The sequence below is a fragment of the Homo sapiens genome, chromosome 2 (assembly GCF_000001405.40).
Source record: "Homo sapiens chromosome 2, GRCh38.p14 Primary Assembly".
Classification (NCBI taxonomy): Eukaryota; Metazoa; Chordata; class Mammalia; order Primates; family Hominidae; genus Homo; species Homo sapiens.
Window position 1 is genome coordinate 217974022 of NC_000002.12, and position 19770 is coordinate 217993791.

General features: G+C 52.8%; 1 protein-coding gene and 1 long non-coding RNA gene across 15 annotated transcripts in view, besides 1 other annotated feature; one reads left to right on the forward strand and one right to left on the reverse strand.

Moving 5' to 3' along the window:
- TNS1 (tensin 1) overlaps positions 1 to 19770 on the reverse strand; it is a 234192-nt gene that overhangs the window by 174231 nt on the left and 40191 nt on the right. For 10 of the 14 annotated variants that reach the window (XM_047445637.1, NM_001438865.1, XM_047445639.1 and 7 more), the window contains 2 exons: positions 16921 to 17035; positions 4744 to 4781 (listed from right to left, as the gene is read on the reverse strand). In XM_047445637.1, the coding sequence (XP_047301593.1) occupies positions 4744 to 4781; positions 16921 to 17035 (153 nt within the window). Of the gene's footprint in view, positions 1 to 4743; positions 4782 to 5908; positions 6017 to 12757; positions 12854 to 16920; positions 17036 to 17576; positions 19117 to 19770 lie in introns of those variants that run through there. The other 4 variants (XM_047445641.1, XM_024453078.2, XM_047445636.1 and 1 more) reach the window with 3 other exon arrangements.
- Positions 4682 to 5570: an enhancer, noted in NCBI's record as "H3K4me1 hESC enhancer chr2:218843426-218844314 (GRCh37/hg19 assembly coordinates)". NCBI's record gives its function as "activates a minimal SCP1, AML or CMV promoter by ChIP-STARR-seq in naive and primed H9 embryonic stem cells {active_cell/tissue: H9 hESC(naive and primed)}" and the evidence as "EXISTENCE:reporter gene assay evidence [ECO:0000049][PMID:30033119]".
- On the forward strand, positions 4686 to 18594 carry TNS1-AS1 (TNS1 antisense RNA 1). Its single transcript, NR_135524.1, has 4 exons — positions 4686 to 4823; positions 11443 to 11560; positions 12814 to 12912; positions 18382 to 18594. It is a non-coding gene; the product is annotated as a TNS1 antisense RNA 1 (long non-coding RNA).

The following is a 19770-nucleotide window of genomic DNA, read 5'->3' on the forward strand; positions in this document are numbered from 1 at the left end:
GCCGGATACAAAAGCAAACATACTGTGTGATTCCATTTCGATGAACATTCAAGAACAGGCAAAACTAATCTCTGATGATACAGATAAAGATAGCAATTACCTTTGGGGTATATTGACTTGAAGGAACATAAGGGTTGCTTTTTGGGTGCTGGGAATGTTCTAGATCATGATCTGGTTCTCATGTATGTACAAATCTATCAGGATGTACGTTTGAGTTTTGTATAATTGAGAGTGTGAATTATACCCCAATTAGAAAAAGGAATATGATTAGAATTATTATTTGCAGCACCCTCTGTGTCAGAAGATAGGAAGGTTTTTGGGAGGGGTATTTAAAGTGATTTTGCTGCTACTTCTTTCCTGCTTTCCTCCATCCCCTCAGCCTCTCCCCAGAAAGGAAGACTTGTTTCTCAAAATTCCTTTATTCTATCCTTTTATCCCTTTATAGGCACTCCTACTATGGACTAGGTACTATTCGGGAAGCTGGGGTGGAACCTAGCTCTCAACCTTCCGATGGGCAATCAACACATAGATAACATTGACTATGAGCCGGCACCGAGGCTCTACCTCTACCAGCAGGAACATTTTCTCTCAAGCACGTCCAAGTGGCAGAGAGCTGGGCACAGAATATCTGGGATCCTTTCCAGGCTTTGACTATCGTTCCAAGAAAGGAGAAAGGTGCCTACTATATGCCAATGTGCATTTAATCCTCTGCAACCCAGCTTACATATCTAGAAGGCAGCAGGGGTAGAGTTCAAACCCAAGTATGTCTGATTCCCGTACCCTGCCCTTCCCAACACACCCACGGCCTCCTAGCTGCCAGGTCAGCATTGCCCTGTCTCTGGGCATCTGTAGTGTCACCCTCCAAGATGGCCCCCACTGATTCTTGCCTCATGGTATTCAAGCCCTTATGTAGATTCTTTCCACACTGAATAAGGCTGACCTATGTAACCAATAGGATATTGTAGAAATAACAGTGTGTCTTCCAAGGATAGTGTATAAAAGACATTGTGGGTTCTGCCTTGCTCTCTCTTGAATCATTCATTCACTCTTGGGAAACCAGCCACCATGTTGTAAGGACACTCAAGCAGCCCTATGGAGAGGTCCGTGTGGTGAGAAACTGAGGCTACCTGGCAACAGCCAACCCCAACTTGATAGCCACATGACAGAACCACCTTGGAAAATGATCCTCCAGCCCCAGTCAGGCCTTGAGAAGACTGCAGCCCCAGCCAACATCTCAGCTGCAACCCCATGAGAGACCCCTAGCCAGAACCAGTCAGCTAAGCCACCCCCAACATCCTGACCCCCCAAAACATTTATTATTATGAGATAATAAGTGTTTGAAGCTATTTTAAGCTACTAAATCTGGGGGCCATTTATTACACCATATCACTCTGTATACATAACACAGCCCCTGTCAGAACTATCGCTTCGTGCTGCAGGAACAGTGAGGGTGGCGTGTGAAGGCATTAGGAACCAGCCACTTACCAGAGGAGTGACTACAGCAGGCTGAATAGGAGAGGACCAACATCAGCAAGAAACCCCAAGTGCATGGGGGGACTGTGAAAAGGAGACCAAGCAAAGCTGAAACCCTGGAGCCATCTTTCCTAGAAATTTCTCGCATACCTCGTCTATCTCAGTAAGTGAAACCATGTGCACCCAATTACTCTGGCCAAAATCTGGGAGTCATCTTTAAGCCCACTCCTGCTCTCACACCCAAAATCCGATGGCTCAGCGAGGCTCCAGCTCTCCCTCAGAAGGCATCCCAGACCCAGCCCCTCCTCACTGCTTTTCTGGCTAGCACCATGGACTAAGCCACCAGGCTCTCTCGAGTGGGCAACATCAGCAGCCTCTTGGCCCATGTCCCTACTCCCACCCTGGTGCCTGCTCAAGGCCAGAGTGGCCTTCTCAGAGTGGAAATCCAATCGCGTCCCTCCAGCCCAAACTCCCCAGCACTCACTACTCTCCAGCCCTCTTTCAAGCGTAACAAGTTCCTCTCACCTCAGGGCCTTTGCACCTGCTCTTTCTCCTCCCCCACATCATCATCTGGGTCCCACCTCACATGACTCTTCCTCCAAGGAGTCTTTCTGGGCTACCTTAGCAGAATTCTCTAACCCATTGCTCCAGCTCATTCCCTTCAAAACTTGTTTGCCTATTTAGTGCCTGTCTCCCCTATTAGATTGCAAGACCCATGAGGGCCAAGACCTTCTCTATCTGTTCACTTAGAACAGCATTTGGCCCGTGGAAGGAGATTACTAATGAATCCTGCCTAGAAGCAGGGGATGGACAAGATGACCTCAAGGTTGACGAGGCTATAAAATCCACAGTATAGAGCTCTGCTGTGGCTCTGTGGCTCCCGCTGCCCTTCCCAGCAGGAGGAAAAGGCAGGGCGGCAGTAAGAGCTCTGGTTTCAGAGAAAGACCCACCAGCTGGGTGGAGCGCTCACCACCAGTGGGTCCCATTCCCTATAGAGGAAACTCCTATACAAAGCCCATCTGTCTGCCTGGTTGCTGCCCTGCCAGTCTACCCTCTCCCCCACTTAGTTGGCCTCCTTGGGCAGGGCAGAGCAGCACTGCGGCAGCCTGGTGCATTCTGAGCCCCCAGCACACGTGAGAGACTCCTCAGGTAGGCTATGCCCCCAAAAAGTCATCTTTGCCATTTGCCTGTTCCCATGCACAAGGCTACTGCATGACAAGGGGCCATCTGTCATATCTTTCTGGGCCTCTCTGGGCCACCCATCTCCCCCAATCAGACCCTTCACTGCCCGGAAGTTTATCCCCTTATCCTTCCTAAATATATCCTGCTGCTGTCAAGAGATGGAAAGCAAAAGGAAGAATGGCAGGCAAGGATGGAGAAATGCATGCCAGTAGGCAGTGAGAGACAAGGAGAAGGAAGCACAAAGGCCCAGGGACAGAGAGCAGGTGAAGAATTACACCGGGACACCTTGGGGAAGTCACTCAACGTGGGGCGCCTCAGTTTCCTCATCTGTAAAACAACAGAATCTTTTGGCCAATGTTTTATGCTCTAAAGGAATTAAAAGAACAAAGTCTGATAATGCATGTGAAATGCTGTCTAAGACCCAAAGCACTGTACAAATGTCCATTGCTATTAAAAGAAAAGGTTGCAGGAAGGGCAGTACGAAGGGGTAGACTGGGGAGGAGCAAGAAAACTGGAAAGTTCTGGAGTTTAAGGCAAAAAACTCTGCTCTGGATAAACAGAACAAGGAGGGAGGTGGAAGGAGAAGCAGAAACGTACTCTCCATCCAGGGGAGGAAAGGCTGAGAGAGGCCGCAGGAAAGGAGAAGACAAGGGAAGGGGCAGAAAACCCACTGCATGGAGGTACCTGCTGCAAGCCAGGCCCTCTGCATCTCTGCAAGGGGAGCATTCCAAGCTGGAGTCTACAGATGGAGACGCCCTCCAGCAAGGTGTGTGCTCGGCTTTAGTAAAGTTTCTTTGGAGGAAGATTCTTCCCAGACCTGCTTGATCCGTCAGCACCCCTTCCCCAAGGTAACACTTGTCCCTCTAAGCTCCCAGTAGCTGAGCATCAGTCATGACATTTTTGAGCACCCACCCTGTGCCAGGCACTGGGCTGGGCACTTCACATACATTACCTCATTGAATTCTCACAACAACTTTATGAGGTAGGCTTCTTATTCCCATATCCTTGAGAATGAAACAGAAACTCAGAGAGGTACATAACTTGCCCAAGGCCACCCAGCTAATAAGAAGCAAAACATGAGATGTACCAGATACAGGTCCTCAACTGCTCAATGAATGCTCCTTCTGGAAGCATCTTCTCCTTCTACTCCCTGAACTCCTTGAAAGGTCAAATATGAAGAGCAAACGTAGGGAGTGAAAGGGCAGGGAGGGTTACAAGCAACAATGGCAGAAGGTGCAGACATTGGCTGCAAGTGAAAGGCAAGGAACGCCATTTCCACCCCTAGGCAGAGCTGAGCCCATTGGACAGAACCATTTCCTTCCCAAACTCATAATCCATCTTGGTGCCAATCCCCCACCCCCTGTTACTCCAAGAAGCTGATATATGACTCCTGTGTCCAAACCTCAGTGGATACATCAGGGGCTGAGCCAGCCTGGCCAACCAGGGCCCAGCAATCCCTCCAGTCTTCTTGCCTCAGTTTCCCTTTCCCATCAAGACCAGCCAGAAAATACTCATGGGGAAATTGAGGACCAAAAGAAGACCTGGCCAATAAAGAGGAAGGGACAGTCTCTCAGGCGGTTCCAGACCAGCCAATCCTGACCTCCGACCTCATTCTCCATTTATCCCACCCACCCGCTTCTCCTGCCCTCGGGGTCCTGTGGCTGTGGACACTGAGGTTTTCTAGGTTGGCCAAATTGAGCCAACTGGGGTTGTGCGCGGCCCGGGGTAATTGAAATGGATCCCCTCCCCCTTTCCCTCTCCCCCTTGAGAACTAGCAGAAACACCTTCAAAGGCCGCTCTCTGGGAGCTCGGTCCCCATCAGCCACCCCCGGTAACCGCCCAGATTGCGCTCCGCGCCCCCCACCCAGATCCCCCGATTCCCCAGCCCGCCCCTGCCCCCGCCCCCGGGCCTTCGCCTTCACCTTGACCTGCGCCCGCTCCCAGGCCCAGGCGCTTTGCATAAACAAAGAGAGGAGGAGGGACGCCCCGGGCACCGCCCCCGCCCCGCCGGCGCCCCCGCTCCAATCTGGGACCCCGAGCCAGGCCTGTCCCAAGTCCTCCCGGGCCCGCCAGCCCGCGGCCCCTTACCTTGGCCTGGCATTTCCGATGACAGGAGAAGCTGCAGACTGCAAGAGGGCGAGACACAGAAAGAAAGTTTTAGCCGCGAGGTATGAAATGGAAACTCCGCGAAATCTCCTCCCACCCCAGCCCGCAATCCGCGCTCGGGAAGGAAGGAGGGAAGGAGGGACGGAGGGAAGGAGAGAGGGAGAGAGGGAGGGGACGGAGGGGAGCGGCTGCCGGGCCTGCGGGGCGGGAGTGCCCGGGACTGAGGACCCGCGGCCGGGGAGGCAGGGGGCTCCCAGAGCCAGAGCCCCTCCGGGTGCGGGAAGGTGGGGGGAGCAAAGGGGGGGGTCCCCCACTGGACCCCTGCCAGGGGCAGAGGTAGCCCGGACCCGGGCCCCACGCCAGCCCCACCAAGGAATAAGGGGGGCCTTCTCCCCTTACACACACACCAGGCAGGCAGACGACATCGCAAACCACAATCACACTTACTCTGCCCCAGAGACAGACACACAGACACAATTCAGAGTCCAGGAGCGGGCCCACGCATATACACATTACACCCACACCCACACACTCACCCAGAACCACTCCCACCCATCCACACAGCCATCCACGCACACACACACAGTCTCACACACACAGATTCATCCAGGAAGAGCCCTGACTCAGGGCACCAACACACACAATTTTGTGGGACACCATCAGTTGCAGCCTGACACAGATTTGTGGACACAGACACGTGAACAGATGCTCACATAAACTTCATGTGCATGACTTGAAACACACAGACACACACACACACACACACACACAGGACTTGCTCTTCCTCCCATTACCAGAAGCTGGAATCAAATTTCCTATAAGGTTCCCGAAGCCTGGAATGTCCCCAGCCCTGCCGCCCCACCCCCCAGGGCTCTGGGACTCCACCAAGGGATTTGGTGACCTCCCTGCAGATCTCATGGGTGGGCGAGGGGTCTCCCGAGTTGGGTTTTGCACTGCTTTGGGTCTTGTTGGCTGCCCAGGACCTGCTAAGGCTGGGGGGTTAGGAACTCTGGTTAGAGAACTGGGGAGGGGGAGATAGGGGAGTGCCCTGACTCCAAATCCTCAACAGCCACAGCCCAGGACCACAGCCATCCACCTCCTTCTCCTGGATCTATTGCACCCCACCCCCTTCCAGCTTTGAACCAACCTGATTCTCAGCAGACTGCAGAAAGGGAGGTTGAGGCACAGATGAATGCCCGGAGCAGCCCAGGGAGGCTCCGGGGTTCCCCACACTAAGGCTTCTTCTGATTTGTCTGAGGCAGAAGGGGCTGGGCATGGGGAAGGGGGAGAAGCTGGGAAGCACACTGGGTGGTGCCTGGAAAGGGACCTTGGCCACTGGCCCTAACATGGGATCTTCTTCTCTCAGAACCTAGTCCTGGCCCAGCCCAGGCCTGTGACTCACCGGTGCTGAGCAAGGTTTTCCTGACCCCACCAGCCACCCAGCCTAGCTCAGGGACATCTCCACCCTGGCCACAGCAGGACATACTCCCCACTCAGCCACACAAGCGTTACCCATCACTCTGGTCTTTCTGCTTCTCCCTCTCCCTCAGCACCACCACCAGCCCGGGTAGCAACTCCCTCACTTCGCAAAGGTGTTCCCTCTTGGACACCAGCAGCCTCCCTTGCCCCACCCCATCCAAATAGAGGAAACGTCCCCTTTGTTGGTCCAACAGTGTGGGCTCCTTCCAGGGGGACCTGCCTCTCTCTCTCTCCTACACACACACAGAGAGAGAGAGAGAGAGAGAGAGAGAGAGAGAGAGAGAGGAGCCTGGTACACAGGAGAGGCTTAATAAACGTTTGCTGAGTTGGACCTGTCTGAAGATATCCCCTGTGGTTTATGCGCACCCCAATTTAGTCATGTCCCCCCGACTCTCAGATCGTTCCTGAGCTGTAGACCGCCACCTCAACATCTCATGTTCAACCAAAAAGGCATCTCTAAGCATCCACCCCAGTCTAGACATGAGGGACACAATGGGGGCCGGGACTCCACCTCCCTCCAGCATGCTCCCTGCTCTGCCAGTTCCCAGAGTGCCTCAGGGCCTTGGCACTTGCTGTGTCAGCTGCCTGGTACACTCCCCCTCACCCCAGCACCCCATCGTTCCCTGGACCAAATCCCTCTTATCCTTTGGGAATCCACCCAAAGTCATCTCCTCAAAGAGGCCTCCCCTGACCACTCAAATTAGAGTAGCTTTCCAATTATTCCTTTTCAGCACACCGGTTATTTCCTGGTTATTTTCTGAAGTTGCCCTGGGTAACTTCTCTCTAATCTATCTCCCCACACTACACTCAGAGGGCAAGGAGCATGCCTGTCTCCTTTGCACTGTAGCCCCAGCAGCTAGGACAGTGTCTGCTTCAGGCCCATGAGACCATACAGCATCTTTGTGCAAACTAGAAGGAGGCCCATCCCCTGGGCAGACCAGCCCCAGGGACACACAGCTGGGCTCATGCACAGTGTCTTTGTGGAAATGGTGAGAAGGTGCCCTTTCTCCAGGCAGATCAGCCCTGTGCCAAAATGCATGGCTTGGTAGGCAAAGGGTGGGCTGACTCCTGTGCTCTCTCGGGTAGGCACCCTTGGCAGTGCATGGCCTGCCTGACTGTACAGGGCAGCCCTGCCTGTCACACAGTGGGCACACACTCAGCAAATGCCCTCAAGTGGGGGGGCAAATGGAGAAATCATCAGGTAATTGCAATACGCTATGCTGAGTGCTTCCTGTACACTGGAATGCAGAAAGCTTGTCCTTGGCAGCTCTACAGAGGGGAACGAGGGAAGACCACTCCCACCCCAGCTCCCAGCCCAGAAGACAAAAGCTTAGCAAACTGAAAGCAAGTGGCAGATGCCAAGCAGGACAGGCTTGGCCAAGCCCCCATGAATGGATATTGACACCTGCAGAAGCAACCGCCTCCAACCCCAAGGAGGCCCGCTTGCTGAGTTTCCTCCAGGGAAGCCCTCTTTGCGTGCCTATCCACCTGTCTCACATATCCTCCCAAGGGGCAGTATGTCCTCCTCTCTAACGTGCATCCGTCTTGCTGTAATCTCAAGTTTGGGCCTGTCAATCTGCTGGCCTCTCACTTTCAGATCGATGAAATATTCAGATGTGTTACAGAATGGGAAACTGTGGCAACCAGCCTTGCAGGTAGCTGCCAATATTTCTTGCCTCTGCTACTCATCATGCCCTTCTGGAGTCCCCTCCCACACTAAATAGGGCTGATTTATGTAATCAGTCAGATATTGTAGAAATGACAGTGTGTGACTTCTGAGGCTAAACCATAAAAGACACTTTGACTTCAGCCTTGGTCTCTTGGATCACTTGCTCTGGGGGAAGCCAGTGACCATGTCGTGAAAACACTCAAGCAGCCCTATGGAGAGGGCCATGTGGTGAGGGGCTGAGGCCTCCTGCCAATAGCCAGCCCCAGCTTGACAGCATTACCTGAGCCATGTGGGAACTGGATCCTCCAGCCCCAGTCAGGCTTTCAGATGAATACGGCCCCAGTGACATCTTCACTGCACCTTTATAAGACACTCTGAGCCAGAACCACCCAGCCAAGTCACTCATGAATTCCTGAGCCATGGAAACCATGTGGAATACTAATTTTGATTTTTTTTCTTTTCTTCTTTTCTTTTTTTTTTTTTTTTTAGACATGGTCTTGCTCTGCTCTGTCACCCAGGCTGGAGTGCAGTGGCACAATCTCAGTTCACTGCAATCTCCATCTACCAGGCTCAAGCGATCCTCCCACTTCAGCCTCCCAAGCAGCTGGGACTACAAGCATGTGCCACCATGCCCTGCTAATTCTTGCATTTTTTGTAGAGAGAGGGTTTTGCCATTTGCCCAGGCTGGTCTCGAACTCCTGAGCTCAAGCAATCCTCCTGCCTGGGTTTCCAAAAGTGCTAGGATTACAGGAGTGAACCATGGACCCAGCCTGTATTTATTTTAAACCACTAAGTTTACGGGTAATTTTTTATGCAGTACTAGATCACTGATACCAGAACACAAGACCCATCAGAATGCAAAAGCCAAAGGTAGCAGATGCTGGGAACCAAGGCCAGAGGCCATCTCCTGGGTCCTACCTTGCTGCTTGGTGCCTGCAAACTCTCGCTTTAACTCCTTCCTCACTTCCCTTACCCTACCAAGTAATTAGTCATTGTGTCCCAGAAAGTAACTCTTAAGAGGCTAAGGTATTCTGTAACAGCCCGACTAAGACACCCCCCACCACCAATGCCACCCACCCCTTCCTCCCTTCAACTGAGAAAGGGGAAAAACCCAGGTTCCAACCCTGGGAACATCAGACACTGCTGGGGAGACAGCCAGTCTGTGAGTGACAGGGACCAGTCTGTGAGTGACAAGGGACCAGTCTGTGAGTGACAGGGATGCTCACTCCATAGGTACCATTTCTCATCAGAAGGATGGGGACATGCAGGGAGAAACAAGAGCAGGAAAACCCCAGCCTTCTCTTCTCCTGAGTCCTCCCCCAGATACACATGTCAGGATGGGCCCTACCTGAGCAGATCATGGCCTCCCAGCTACTACAGAAGGCCCCGAAATTACAAACCCACGTATGCACCCTCCTGAGCCAGTGACCCTGTCCAACCGGAGCTCCATGGAGCCCCAGGAGCCCTATCTCTGCCCACGATGTCAGCACTGCCCCTGCACAGCAGGGCCCAGTGGTGGCCTGAGAGGGAGCAGAGAGCCCCTTAGTGGGAAGGGACCCTTAGATTACTCTGCTGGGGTGAAGAACTGCACCCCCAGCCCTTGGCCCCAGCTCCCACCCCAGCTGGGCTGCCGGTACTCTGTCCTGGGGTTGCTTCCTGCCTCTCGGGAACACAGGAAGCCAACATTGTTGGGATCTAAATGGCCTTTTCCTCCTGGACTTGGGTCGGAAAATGAGCACATAGCCTCAGTGTGCACCTGACCCCGGCGATAACCACTCGCATGCCCGGTCCGGCTTCAGCTCCTTCCATGGCCGGCACAGAGGCACAGGCCTGGCCACCTGCCTGCTCACCGGCCACTCACCCTGCCCTGCCAGTTCATCTCCAGGACCTGGGCTGGAGGTATGCAGTGGTTAATTTAATGAATCAACTTGTCTAGGCCACGGTACCTAGATATTCGGTGAAACACTATTCTGGATGTTTCTGAGAAAGTCGGTTGGTTTTATTTTTTAGATGAGATTCACATTTAAATCAGTAAACTATGAATAAAGCACATGACCCTCCATAATTTAGGTGGGCCTCATCCAATCAGTTGAAGGCCTTAATAAAGAAAACCAACCTCCCCAAGCAAGAAGGAATTCTGCCAGCACACGGCTCTGGACTCGAGCTACAACAGGCAGGGGTACCCCACCTGCCAACCTACCCTGCAGATTTTGAACCTGCCACAGCTCTACAATCACGTGAGACAATTCCTTAAATAAATCTCTTTTTTTCTACACACATCCTGTTGGTTCTGTTTCTGCAGAGAACCTTGACTGATACAAGGTGTCTCAGGGGATGGTCGGGGGACATGGTGTGGCTCTGAAGTAAGAACAGGAAGAAACCTTCCAGATCAAGCTTGTCCAACCTGCAGGCTGCAGGCCACATGTGGCTCAGGATGGCTTTGAATGCGGCCCAACACAAATTCGTAAATTTCTTAAAATATTATGAGTTTTTTTTTTTGCAAGGCAGGGGGGCACATAAGATGGTTTCTTATATGCACCCAACTCTTTCTTTCTTATTTTTAGTCTTTCTTTCTGAGACAGGGTCTCCATCTGTCACTCAAGCTGGAGTGCAGTCGTGTGCTCATAGCTCACTGCAGCCTCGACCTCCCCAGGCTCAAGTGATCCTCCCACCTCAGCCTCTGGAGTATCTGGGACTACAGGTGTGCACCACCACACCCAGCTATTTTATTTTTTTATTTTGTGTAAAGATGGGGTCCTGCTATGTTGCCCAGGCTGGTATCGAACTCCTGGGCTCAAGTGGTCCTCCCACCTCAGCCTCTTTTTTTTTTTTTTTTTCCCCCCAAGACAGAGTCTTGCTCTGTCACCCAGGCTGGAGTGCATTGGCATGTTCTCGGCTCACTGCAACCTCCACCTCCCGGGTTCAAGAAATTCTCCTGCCTCAGCCTCCCGAGTAGCTGGAATTACAGGTGCTCGCCACCATACCCGGCTAAGTTTTTTGTATCTCTAAGTAGAGAACGGGTTTCACCATGTTGGCAAGGCTGGTCTCAAACTCCTGACCTCATGATCTGCCTACCTCGGCCTCCCAAACTGCTGGGATTACAGGAGTGAGCCACCACACCTGGCACCATTATGAGATTTTTTTTTTTTTTTTTAGCTCATCAGCTATGGTTAGTGTTAGTGTACTTTATGTGTGACCCAAGACAATTCTTCTTTTCCCAAGGTGCCACAGGGAAGCCAAAAGATTGGACACCCTGTTCTAGATCATCCCATCCAGTAGTGTTCAAACTTTTATTTTTACAGCTAAATTCCTCAAGCAGATGGGCTCCTGTGTGGAATCACAATGATGCTGGTTAAGATTCACTGAATGCTTGCTATATATCAGGCTCTGTTTGGAGCCCAGCATATATATATATAATCTCATTTAATCCCACAGTACCTGATGAGGGAGGTACTGCTGTTTGTCCCATTTATTTTTTATTTATTTATTTTATTTTATTTTTTTTGAGATGGAGTTTCACTCTTGTTGCCCAGGCTGGAGTGCAATGGCGCAATCTCGGCTCACCACAACCTCCGCCTCCCAGGTTCAAGCAATTCTCCTGCCTCAGCCTCCCAAGTAGCTGGGATTACAGGCACGCACCACCATGCCCGGGTAATTTGGTATTCTTTTTTAGTAGAGATGGGGTTTCTCCATGTTGGTCAGGCTGGTCTCAAATTCCCAACCTCAGATGATCCGCCCACCTCAGCCTCCCGAAGTGCTGGGATTACAGACGGGAGCCACTGTGCCCGGCTTTTGTCCCATCTTAAAATTAAGGAAACTGAGGCTTAGAGGGGGAAGCAATCAGCCCAAGTTCTTACTAGTAAGGGTCAGAGTGGGGATTTGAATCAGAACATCTAAGTCAAGGACGGGATCACCACAGGATCCTGCCTCCTGATGGATTTAACTCCTAAAACCACAGCTCCTCTGACTGAGGTGGGCAGGGGTCCCAGAGCCCTGACCCCTTAAGATTCCCTTGGATTCATCTCTTTCTTACCCTCTTTGGCCCCTAAAGCTCCTCCAAAAACCTTACAGCTCCTTCAGAACACAGTTTAGAGCCTCTAATCTCATTAAATAATCCCACCTCCTCATTTAGGGAAAAGGGAAAGCCAGACCCAGAGAGGTTAAGCATCTCACCTGGGGTCACACAGCCAGGTTGTATTAATAGCAAGCTAGGGCTAGAAACCCAGGGTCTTCCCACCCTACCAGGCTACCTCTGGTGGCTCCAAGGAGGCCCTCAGACACAGGGCAGAAGCTAGGTTCCCCAGTGAAGTAACAGGGGGAAAGAGTTCCTAGAAACAAGGTTTCCCCAAATCCAGTGGGTGCCGGCTTCTGCACAGGCTTGTCCTGTTAAAGGACGGATCGTCTTTCCAGGTGCATCCTGCCCTAAGGAAACTGCAGGTGACTGTCCCCCATTCCAGGCTCACCAGAGGCATTGAGAAGTGAAGTTTTATCCAAGTCTGGGCCCCAGATCAGGCCCTGATGGCAGCCCTCGGGCTGCTGAGCTGCCATCCTGGTATCTTCCTGTGGGTTTCGGCCTGGTGGGAGGTAGAGCCCTTGAGCAAAGCTCTGAGTCCACATAGCCTCCCTCTGGGGCCTCCTGTGCACATGGACTCCCATAGAGCACTTCCCTAGAGACCTGTGGGAAGCCGACTATTTGGACTGAGGAACTCCTACACATCCCTCAAGACCCAACCTGCACATGCCTTCCCTGCTGAAGCCTGACAAGAACATCTCTACTGAGTCAGAAACGGCCCTCCACATACACACACACACACACACACACACACACACACGCACGCACGCACGTACCTGTGTCAGCTTTGGTACCGTGCTCCATGATTGTCTGACTGTGTCTGTCTTCCCAGGTAAGGGGCTGGCTCTCAGCACCAGGACCTGGCACAGCATCTGACCCAGAGGACAGCTCAGTTCATGATTGCCAGATGGCTGCACGCAGCGCGGAGGAGGTGAGCAGCAGCCTGCGTGGGGGAAGCTATCCTACCTCTGCAGACTCCAACCAGGGAGTTTTCCAGGCCCTCCCCACTGTCAGGGCCTCAGCAAGTATTCTTGGTCCAGCCCTGTTAATCATAGATGAGGAAACTGAGGCCTGAGTTATTAATTGATTTATCCAAGATCACAGAGGTTGTGAGAAGCAGGGCCAGAAGTAGAGCCTGGGCCACTAACAACGCCCCTGCACCTGTTCTCCTGCCATTGTCTCATCTGTCTCTGCATCTTTCACACAGAGCCTTCATCCCTAGCATGAGGACCCATCTTACAGGCACACAGAACCTCAATGCTCCTCACAGCAGCCCCCCAGAGACCCAGGACAGGGTTCATATGCAGGAGTTCACAGGAGTTCACAGGTCCGGAGGAACCCCTTTGCCTGTACATCTATGACGCCCGCATGTCCACCCTCTTAGTTTCCTATCTGCCTTATTCATCTTTGAGTCTTCCAAAACCAGGACCAGACCCCAGGTTCCTTTCCTCTCTTTCCCACCTCTTTTGGCCATATTACATCAAATGGGAAATGCAAGAGGGAGGAAAACGGAAGGGCGGCCCAAGCTATAGGTCCAGGCAACCAAGGGGAGACAGGCCAAACGCCCCAGTGTCTCCAGATCTAAAAGAGCTTCCTCACTGCCCCCTGCCTCCAGCAGAACTTTCTTCAATGTTGCAAGTCCCATGGAGACTGGGAATCCAGGGCCTTGACATTCCATGCGCCCCACCCCACCTATCACCCAGAGCCACTCATCAAGAGAGTTGCCATGTTGTAGCCAAGACTTGAAGGCTGGGAGCAGAGTAAACCCACTGAGTCAGGCTCAGTGAACAGACATGAGCTGGAGTTTGGTCCACACATGCCCCCTCAGCCAGGGAAAAACCCATACAACCATATCGGGTGGCCCTGGTTGGGTGGGTGAATGGATGGATGAGGGGAACTATCAACCTCATGCCATCATGAGCTCCTGACTCCAAAGCACAGACAGTGGCTTCACTCCTGCATCTCCCACCAGTGAACCCAGTAGCCCCAGCCTCCTCCCAGGCCTGGAGATCCCAGTCCCTTTGCTGAGGCTGCACACATGACCTATAGAGTCAGGAGTCTTCCTCCCTTCTCCCTATCTGGGCCTGGCCCCTGCACCTTCCATGTCCCAGTCCTGACACCTGCTGGTCCTGCTACAGTGTAGCCCTGGCTTTCTTCCCACCAAACTCCCCACCCTCCAGAGCCCAGCCAGAGCTGCCAAACCAGTCTGTCCACTCACCCTCCCCTCCGGTTCACACCAGCAGGGCCAGGCTGAGATCTAGGTGAAACCAGGGCCATGTCTTGCTCACCCTGGGAGCCTTCTGTTCACATGGGGTCAAATCCTCTCCTCAACCCAAGCCCTCAGGCCAGGTCAGCTGGGGAACCTAGAGCCATGGAATGTGAGGGCCACCGGAGACTGCAGCCAGAGAAATGCCCAAGGTCACACAGTGAATGTTGGCAGGACTTCCTTCTGCCCCCACCCCCAGACTGCCTCGTATCACCATATTGGGAGTCCCTGGAGTGACGGGAAGACACTAGGGAAGGAAGGAACCGTGGGGAAGGGCCAGGGGCTAATTTATGCATCTTCGCAGGGCAGGGTGTGGGGCTGTTATGCAAACAAAATGCAAAACTTCACCTCTAGCAATTCTTCTGTGACTTCTCCCCTGGCTCCAACCCTAAACTGCCCGCAAGCCCCAGCCAGACCTCTTGGGAGGAGGGTGACACCGCGTGGCTGATTTTGGTATTGCAAAAGTCCTGGTTAGCCACTTTCCCTCCCCCTGAGAGCCCACGTCCTGAAATCCCCACTCGGGCCCCACTCCTGGGTGCCTTGACAAGCGACGTGACCACTGCCAACCTCAGTTTCCTCCTCTGTAAAACGGGGATGACACAAGCACCTTTTGGGGGGTGTGACCATCAGATGAGGTCATGCCTTTGAGTGCTTGGTATGCAGTAAGCGCTTTAGAAATTGTTCAGTGGGCTCTGAGGCCCAGCCTCCCAGCCTGCTGGGACTTTGACATGGAGGGAGGGGCAAGAGAGAGAAGCCAGGGAGAGAAAGACTCATGAGCAAAGGCTCCGGGCAAAAAGGGCATGGCCTGCTTGGCATATTTGACATGCCCAACATAGTGAGGAGTCATGTGAGGTGCCAGTGGTTTGAACATGGAGTCAGGAGCAGAGGAACATGCGGCAGAGAGCTGGGCAAAGGCTGAGCCCACCAGGCCTGGCAGCCGGGGAAAGAGGTCTGTACTCTGTCTTGGGGATTGTGAGGGACCCCCAAAGGCTTTAAGCCAGGAGCTGACATAATTGGGCTTATGTTTTTAAGTCCCACTGGAAGCTGGTGTGGACGGTGGGTCACAGAGAATAGGTCAGGAGACAGGAGAAGGCAAAGGTGAGTCAGTCACCCACATGAGAAATGATGACAGTGGAATTGGGAGGGGATGATGCCAAGAAGCTTGGGGACTCCAGCTGTCCTTGGGAGGCCCTGCAATTGGTGGGACGTGGGGGTGAAGGAGAGGGAAGCATCAGATGGGGCAACGGGGTGAGTGAAGGTGTCAGCCACTGATATTGGGTGCAGGGAGCTCCTGCTGATTTCACTGTGTGATCTGGGACAAGACACCAACTTTTCAGGCAATAATGACAGCCAAGCCCCGGGCCATTCCAGGAGCTCATGAAAATAGCGATTGAAAAGCCTGGCAGACAACAGGTCCTCCGCTGAGTCTGACTCGGGGCCTCTTAAAGTTGCCTCTGAGCTGCCACAGGAGAGGGCTGGGGCGTCCTTTCTTTGCAGAACTCCCAGTGCCAAGCACATGCCACCCACACGACTCCCACACACCAACCACATCCCATCCACATGCCTCAAAACACATCAGCCATGTGACCTCAATGCACCTGCCACAAACCCTCCACACAGCTTCTACATACAGACCACATGCTATCCACACACCAACCACACACCCTCAGCACACATCATCCTCACGCCATCCACACACCAGCCACACACCCTCAGCACACATTATCCACACACCAGCCACACACCCTCAGCACACATCATCCACACACCAGTCACACACCCTCAGCACACATCATCCACACGCCATCCACACACCAGCCACGGACCCTCAACACACATCATCCACACGCCATCCACACACCAGCCACAGACCCTCAAAACACATCATCCACACACCATCCACACATCCTCAGCACACATCATCCACACACCATCCACACACCCTCAGCACGCATCATCCACACACCATCTATACACCAGCCACACTCCCTCAGCATACATCATCCACACACCAGCCACATACCATCCACACACCAGCAACACACCCTGACCACGACCTCCACATGCCACCACACACCAGCCACACACCCTCAACACACATCATCCACACACCATCCACACATAGGCCACACACCAGCCACACACCCTGACCACAACCTCCACATGCCACCACACACCAGCCACACACCCTTCAAACACATCATCCACACGCCATCCACATGCCAGCCACATACCCTCAACACACATCATCCACACACCAGCCACACATCGTCAACATGCATCATCCACACACCAGCCACATGCCATCCACACACCCTCAACAAAACCTCCACATGCCACCACATACTAATCATGCATCTTCCACATGCCACTCACATGCCACTCATATACCTTCTTCATGCCACCCGCATGACACCCATATACCTTCTTCATGCCATTCATCCTCATACAAGCTGCATGCCATTTCCATGCTACCCTCCACCTGCCATGCCCACCACACCCACCCACATGCTTGTCATCCAGTGAGCTCAGCATCCTCCACCAGATGAGAACAAGGCGTCAGGTTGGGACCCCAAGGATGTGTGCACAGCAGAGTCCCAGCCTGGCCCAGGCCCAGCCATCTCATTCCCCTGATGGGTGCTCCCATCCCCCACAGCCCAGACCGCTGCTCACCTTTGCAGGTGCAGCCTTCCTGGGTGATGACCTGGCGGCAGATCCCACAGGGCTTCACCTTCTTGAAGGTCTTCACCTTGAAGCGGTGTGTCTTGGGGGCCTCCAGATCCTCTGGCTGTGGGAGGAGAGGCACAGAGTCAGCCCTGGGTAGAAGGCTGGGGTCCTGGGGAAGGAGTAGAGGAGCCTGGGGGAGAGGTAGGCAGGGACAGGGAAAAGGATGGCAAGAGCCCCTCAGGGTCCAGAGGAGGGAGGAGGGCCCAGGGACAGAGAAAGGTGTGGGGTGACAGGATGTTCATCCCAGACTCAGGTGGGGCCCATGGCCTGAGTCCAGACGGCAGCTGGAGAGTCCAGCTCCAGGGACCTGCAGCCCCCGCATGGCTCCTACCTTGGCTTTTTTTCATTTATTATGAAGGCATGGCTCACACACAGCAGACTGCACTCATTTTAAATGTGTCACTCGATACGTTCCACACATACACCCCACAGAGCCACATCCCCGAAGACTCCCTCATGGCTCCTCCCAGTCAGTGTCCCCTCGCCCCAAGGTTAATACTATTGTGGCTTCCATCACCAAAGAGTCATGGTGCCAGATTTTTAAACCTCCTCAAGATGGAATTATCCAGTGCATAGTCTTGCGTTTGGCTTCCTTCACACACCATGAATCTGAGGTCCCTTTGGGTGGCTGCATCCAACACAGCTTCTCCTTTGTCTCTGCCGTGCGCCGTCCCATTGTGTAGATGCAGCAGGTTTATTTGTCCACTGTACTGCTGATGGGCCTTCGCTTCTCTAACCCATGGCCCCACAGTGCCATTTCCCCTCATTCTCTCCCCATTCCACCCTCTCCACCATCCCCTGCCCCAGCCCGGAAGGCTTCTTCCATCTTTATTTTTATTTTCAATTCTTTGCATTATGAAAACACAGAGATGTGACTATCCTTTTCTAAATGACACCACCTCATGCATGAGAGGCAGGCTGGTGGCCCAAGCCTTCCTCTGAGCCTGACTTACCATAAAGCCCTGGGTCAGTCACCACTCCACCACTACCACAGGCCTCAGTTTCTCTCTCTGGATGGCACCACACCCCTGGAGCTCTGATAGTCTGTCCTTTGAAATCACATATGGGAACATGCTCTAAGATGCAAAGCCCTGCACAGACACTGCCCACCTTTTGGGCCCCACTGCGGGGCAGGGGGGCCTATTCAGAGGACTCCCCACAGAAAGCATCCCCTGCCCCAGGCACTCACCCTGGGGTCTAACCTGATTCCCTTCCCAGCTGTAGCAGGAGGGGGCAAGACACAGACACCAGCAGCTCCCTCTCTCCCCTCTCCCAGGCACAGACCTCTCTGACACCCCTCCACACACGTGGGCGCACACACAGAGACATGATCCCAGCCTTGCAGTGTGCAGAGCAGGTGGGAGGAAAATCCACTCATTCCTGTTCCCCTCCTTGCACCTGCTCCAGAGCCCCCTGGGTCTGAAATAGAGGCTGGAGAGGAGGACTGTGAGTCCAGAGGAGGGAGAGTGATGGTATCCCACACACAAGCCAGCGTGTCTAGGACTCCTATCTGAAGACACTGCAGAGGTGAGTCCTGAGTGACAGAGACTAAGCCATAGAAAGACAGAGAGAAAAACAGACAAAATGAGACCGAGTCAGAGGCAGAAAGCCAGAGAGGCAAAGAGGCAAAGGCATAGAAAGAGAGGGGGACAGAGAGAAAGAGAAAAGGACAGGGGAGAGAGAGGGGTGCGGGAAGCAGACAGGACAGAGAGAGAGGAGCAACAGACAGACAGAGAAGAAAGAAAGACCAAGATAAAGGCAGACAGAGAGAATGAGAGAGATGAGACAGAGACACGCAGAAACTAACAAGGGGGTCAGAGAATGAAAGAGAGACAGAAGGACACAGGAGCTCCCAAAGGCCAAATCCAGGAAGATCAGAGCATCAAAATACATGATGATAGGAATGGCTTAAATGCGTCTTTGCTGACGATCAGAAATGCAGTCATCGCCACATAATGACAGTGGTCCCATAAACTTATGATACTGTATTTTTAGTGTCCCTTTTCTACATTTAGATATGTTTAGATATACAAATACTTACCACCTGTTACAGTTCCCAGCCTACAGCGTTCAGTACAGTGACATGCTGTGCGGGATTTTAGCCCGGGAGCTATAGGCTATACCATACAGTAGCATAGGTGTGCAGTAGGCTGTACCGTCTGGGTATATATAAGTACTCTCTATAGTGCTTGCACAATGACAAAATCCCCCAACAACACATTTCTCAGAAGGTATCCCCATTGTTAAGTGACTCATGACTGTAACTGAATAAACAAAATTTGATAAGGCACAAGATACTTACGTCATCTCCAAGCACCTCCCCACATTATACTTAGAAATTACAAAGAAGAAGAAAGTAACTTTTCCTGGCTTCCTCCACTTTAATCAAGTGATCAAAGTTAACATCACTGCAACGGTAATGGGATGATGAAGCCAAGCTGGGAGCAGGGGTGCACTGAGAACAGACGCCGCTTCTGCGGTATCCCTGCCAGAAAGCCTCAACCTGAACCTAATCATGAGGAAACATCAGGCCAACCCAAACTAAGGGACAACCTACACATTAAACGTCTTGGAATCTCCGAAAGTGACAAGGTCATGAAAATCAAGGAAAGGCTGAGGAGCTTTCCAGACTGAAGGCAGCAAAAAGACTTGGCAACCGAAAGTAACGGCGGCTTCTGAACCAGATTCTGTTGATGCCCACAAGGACATCACTGGGACCACTGGCGGGACTTCCCTGGGTCTAGACTGAATGGTATTAAAGTATCCATGTCAATTTCCTGATTTTGATAGCGGGGC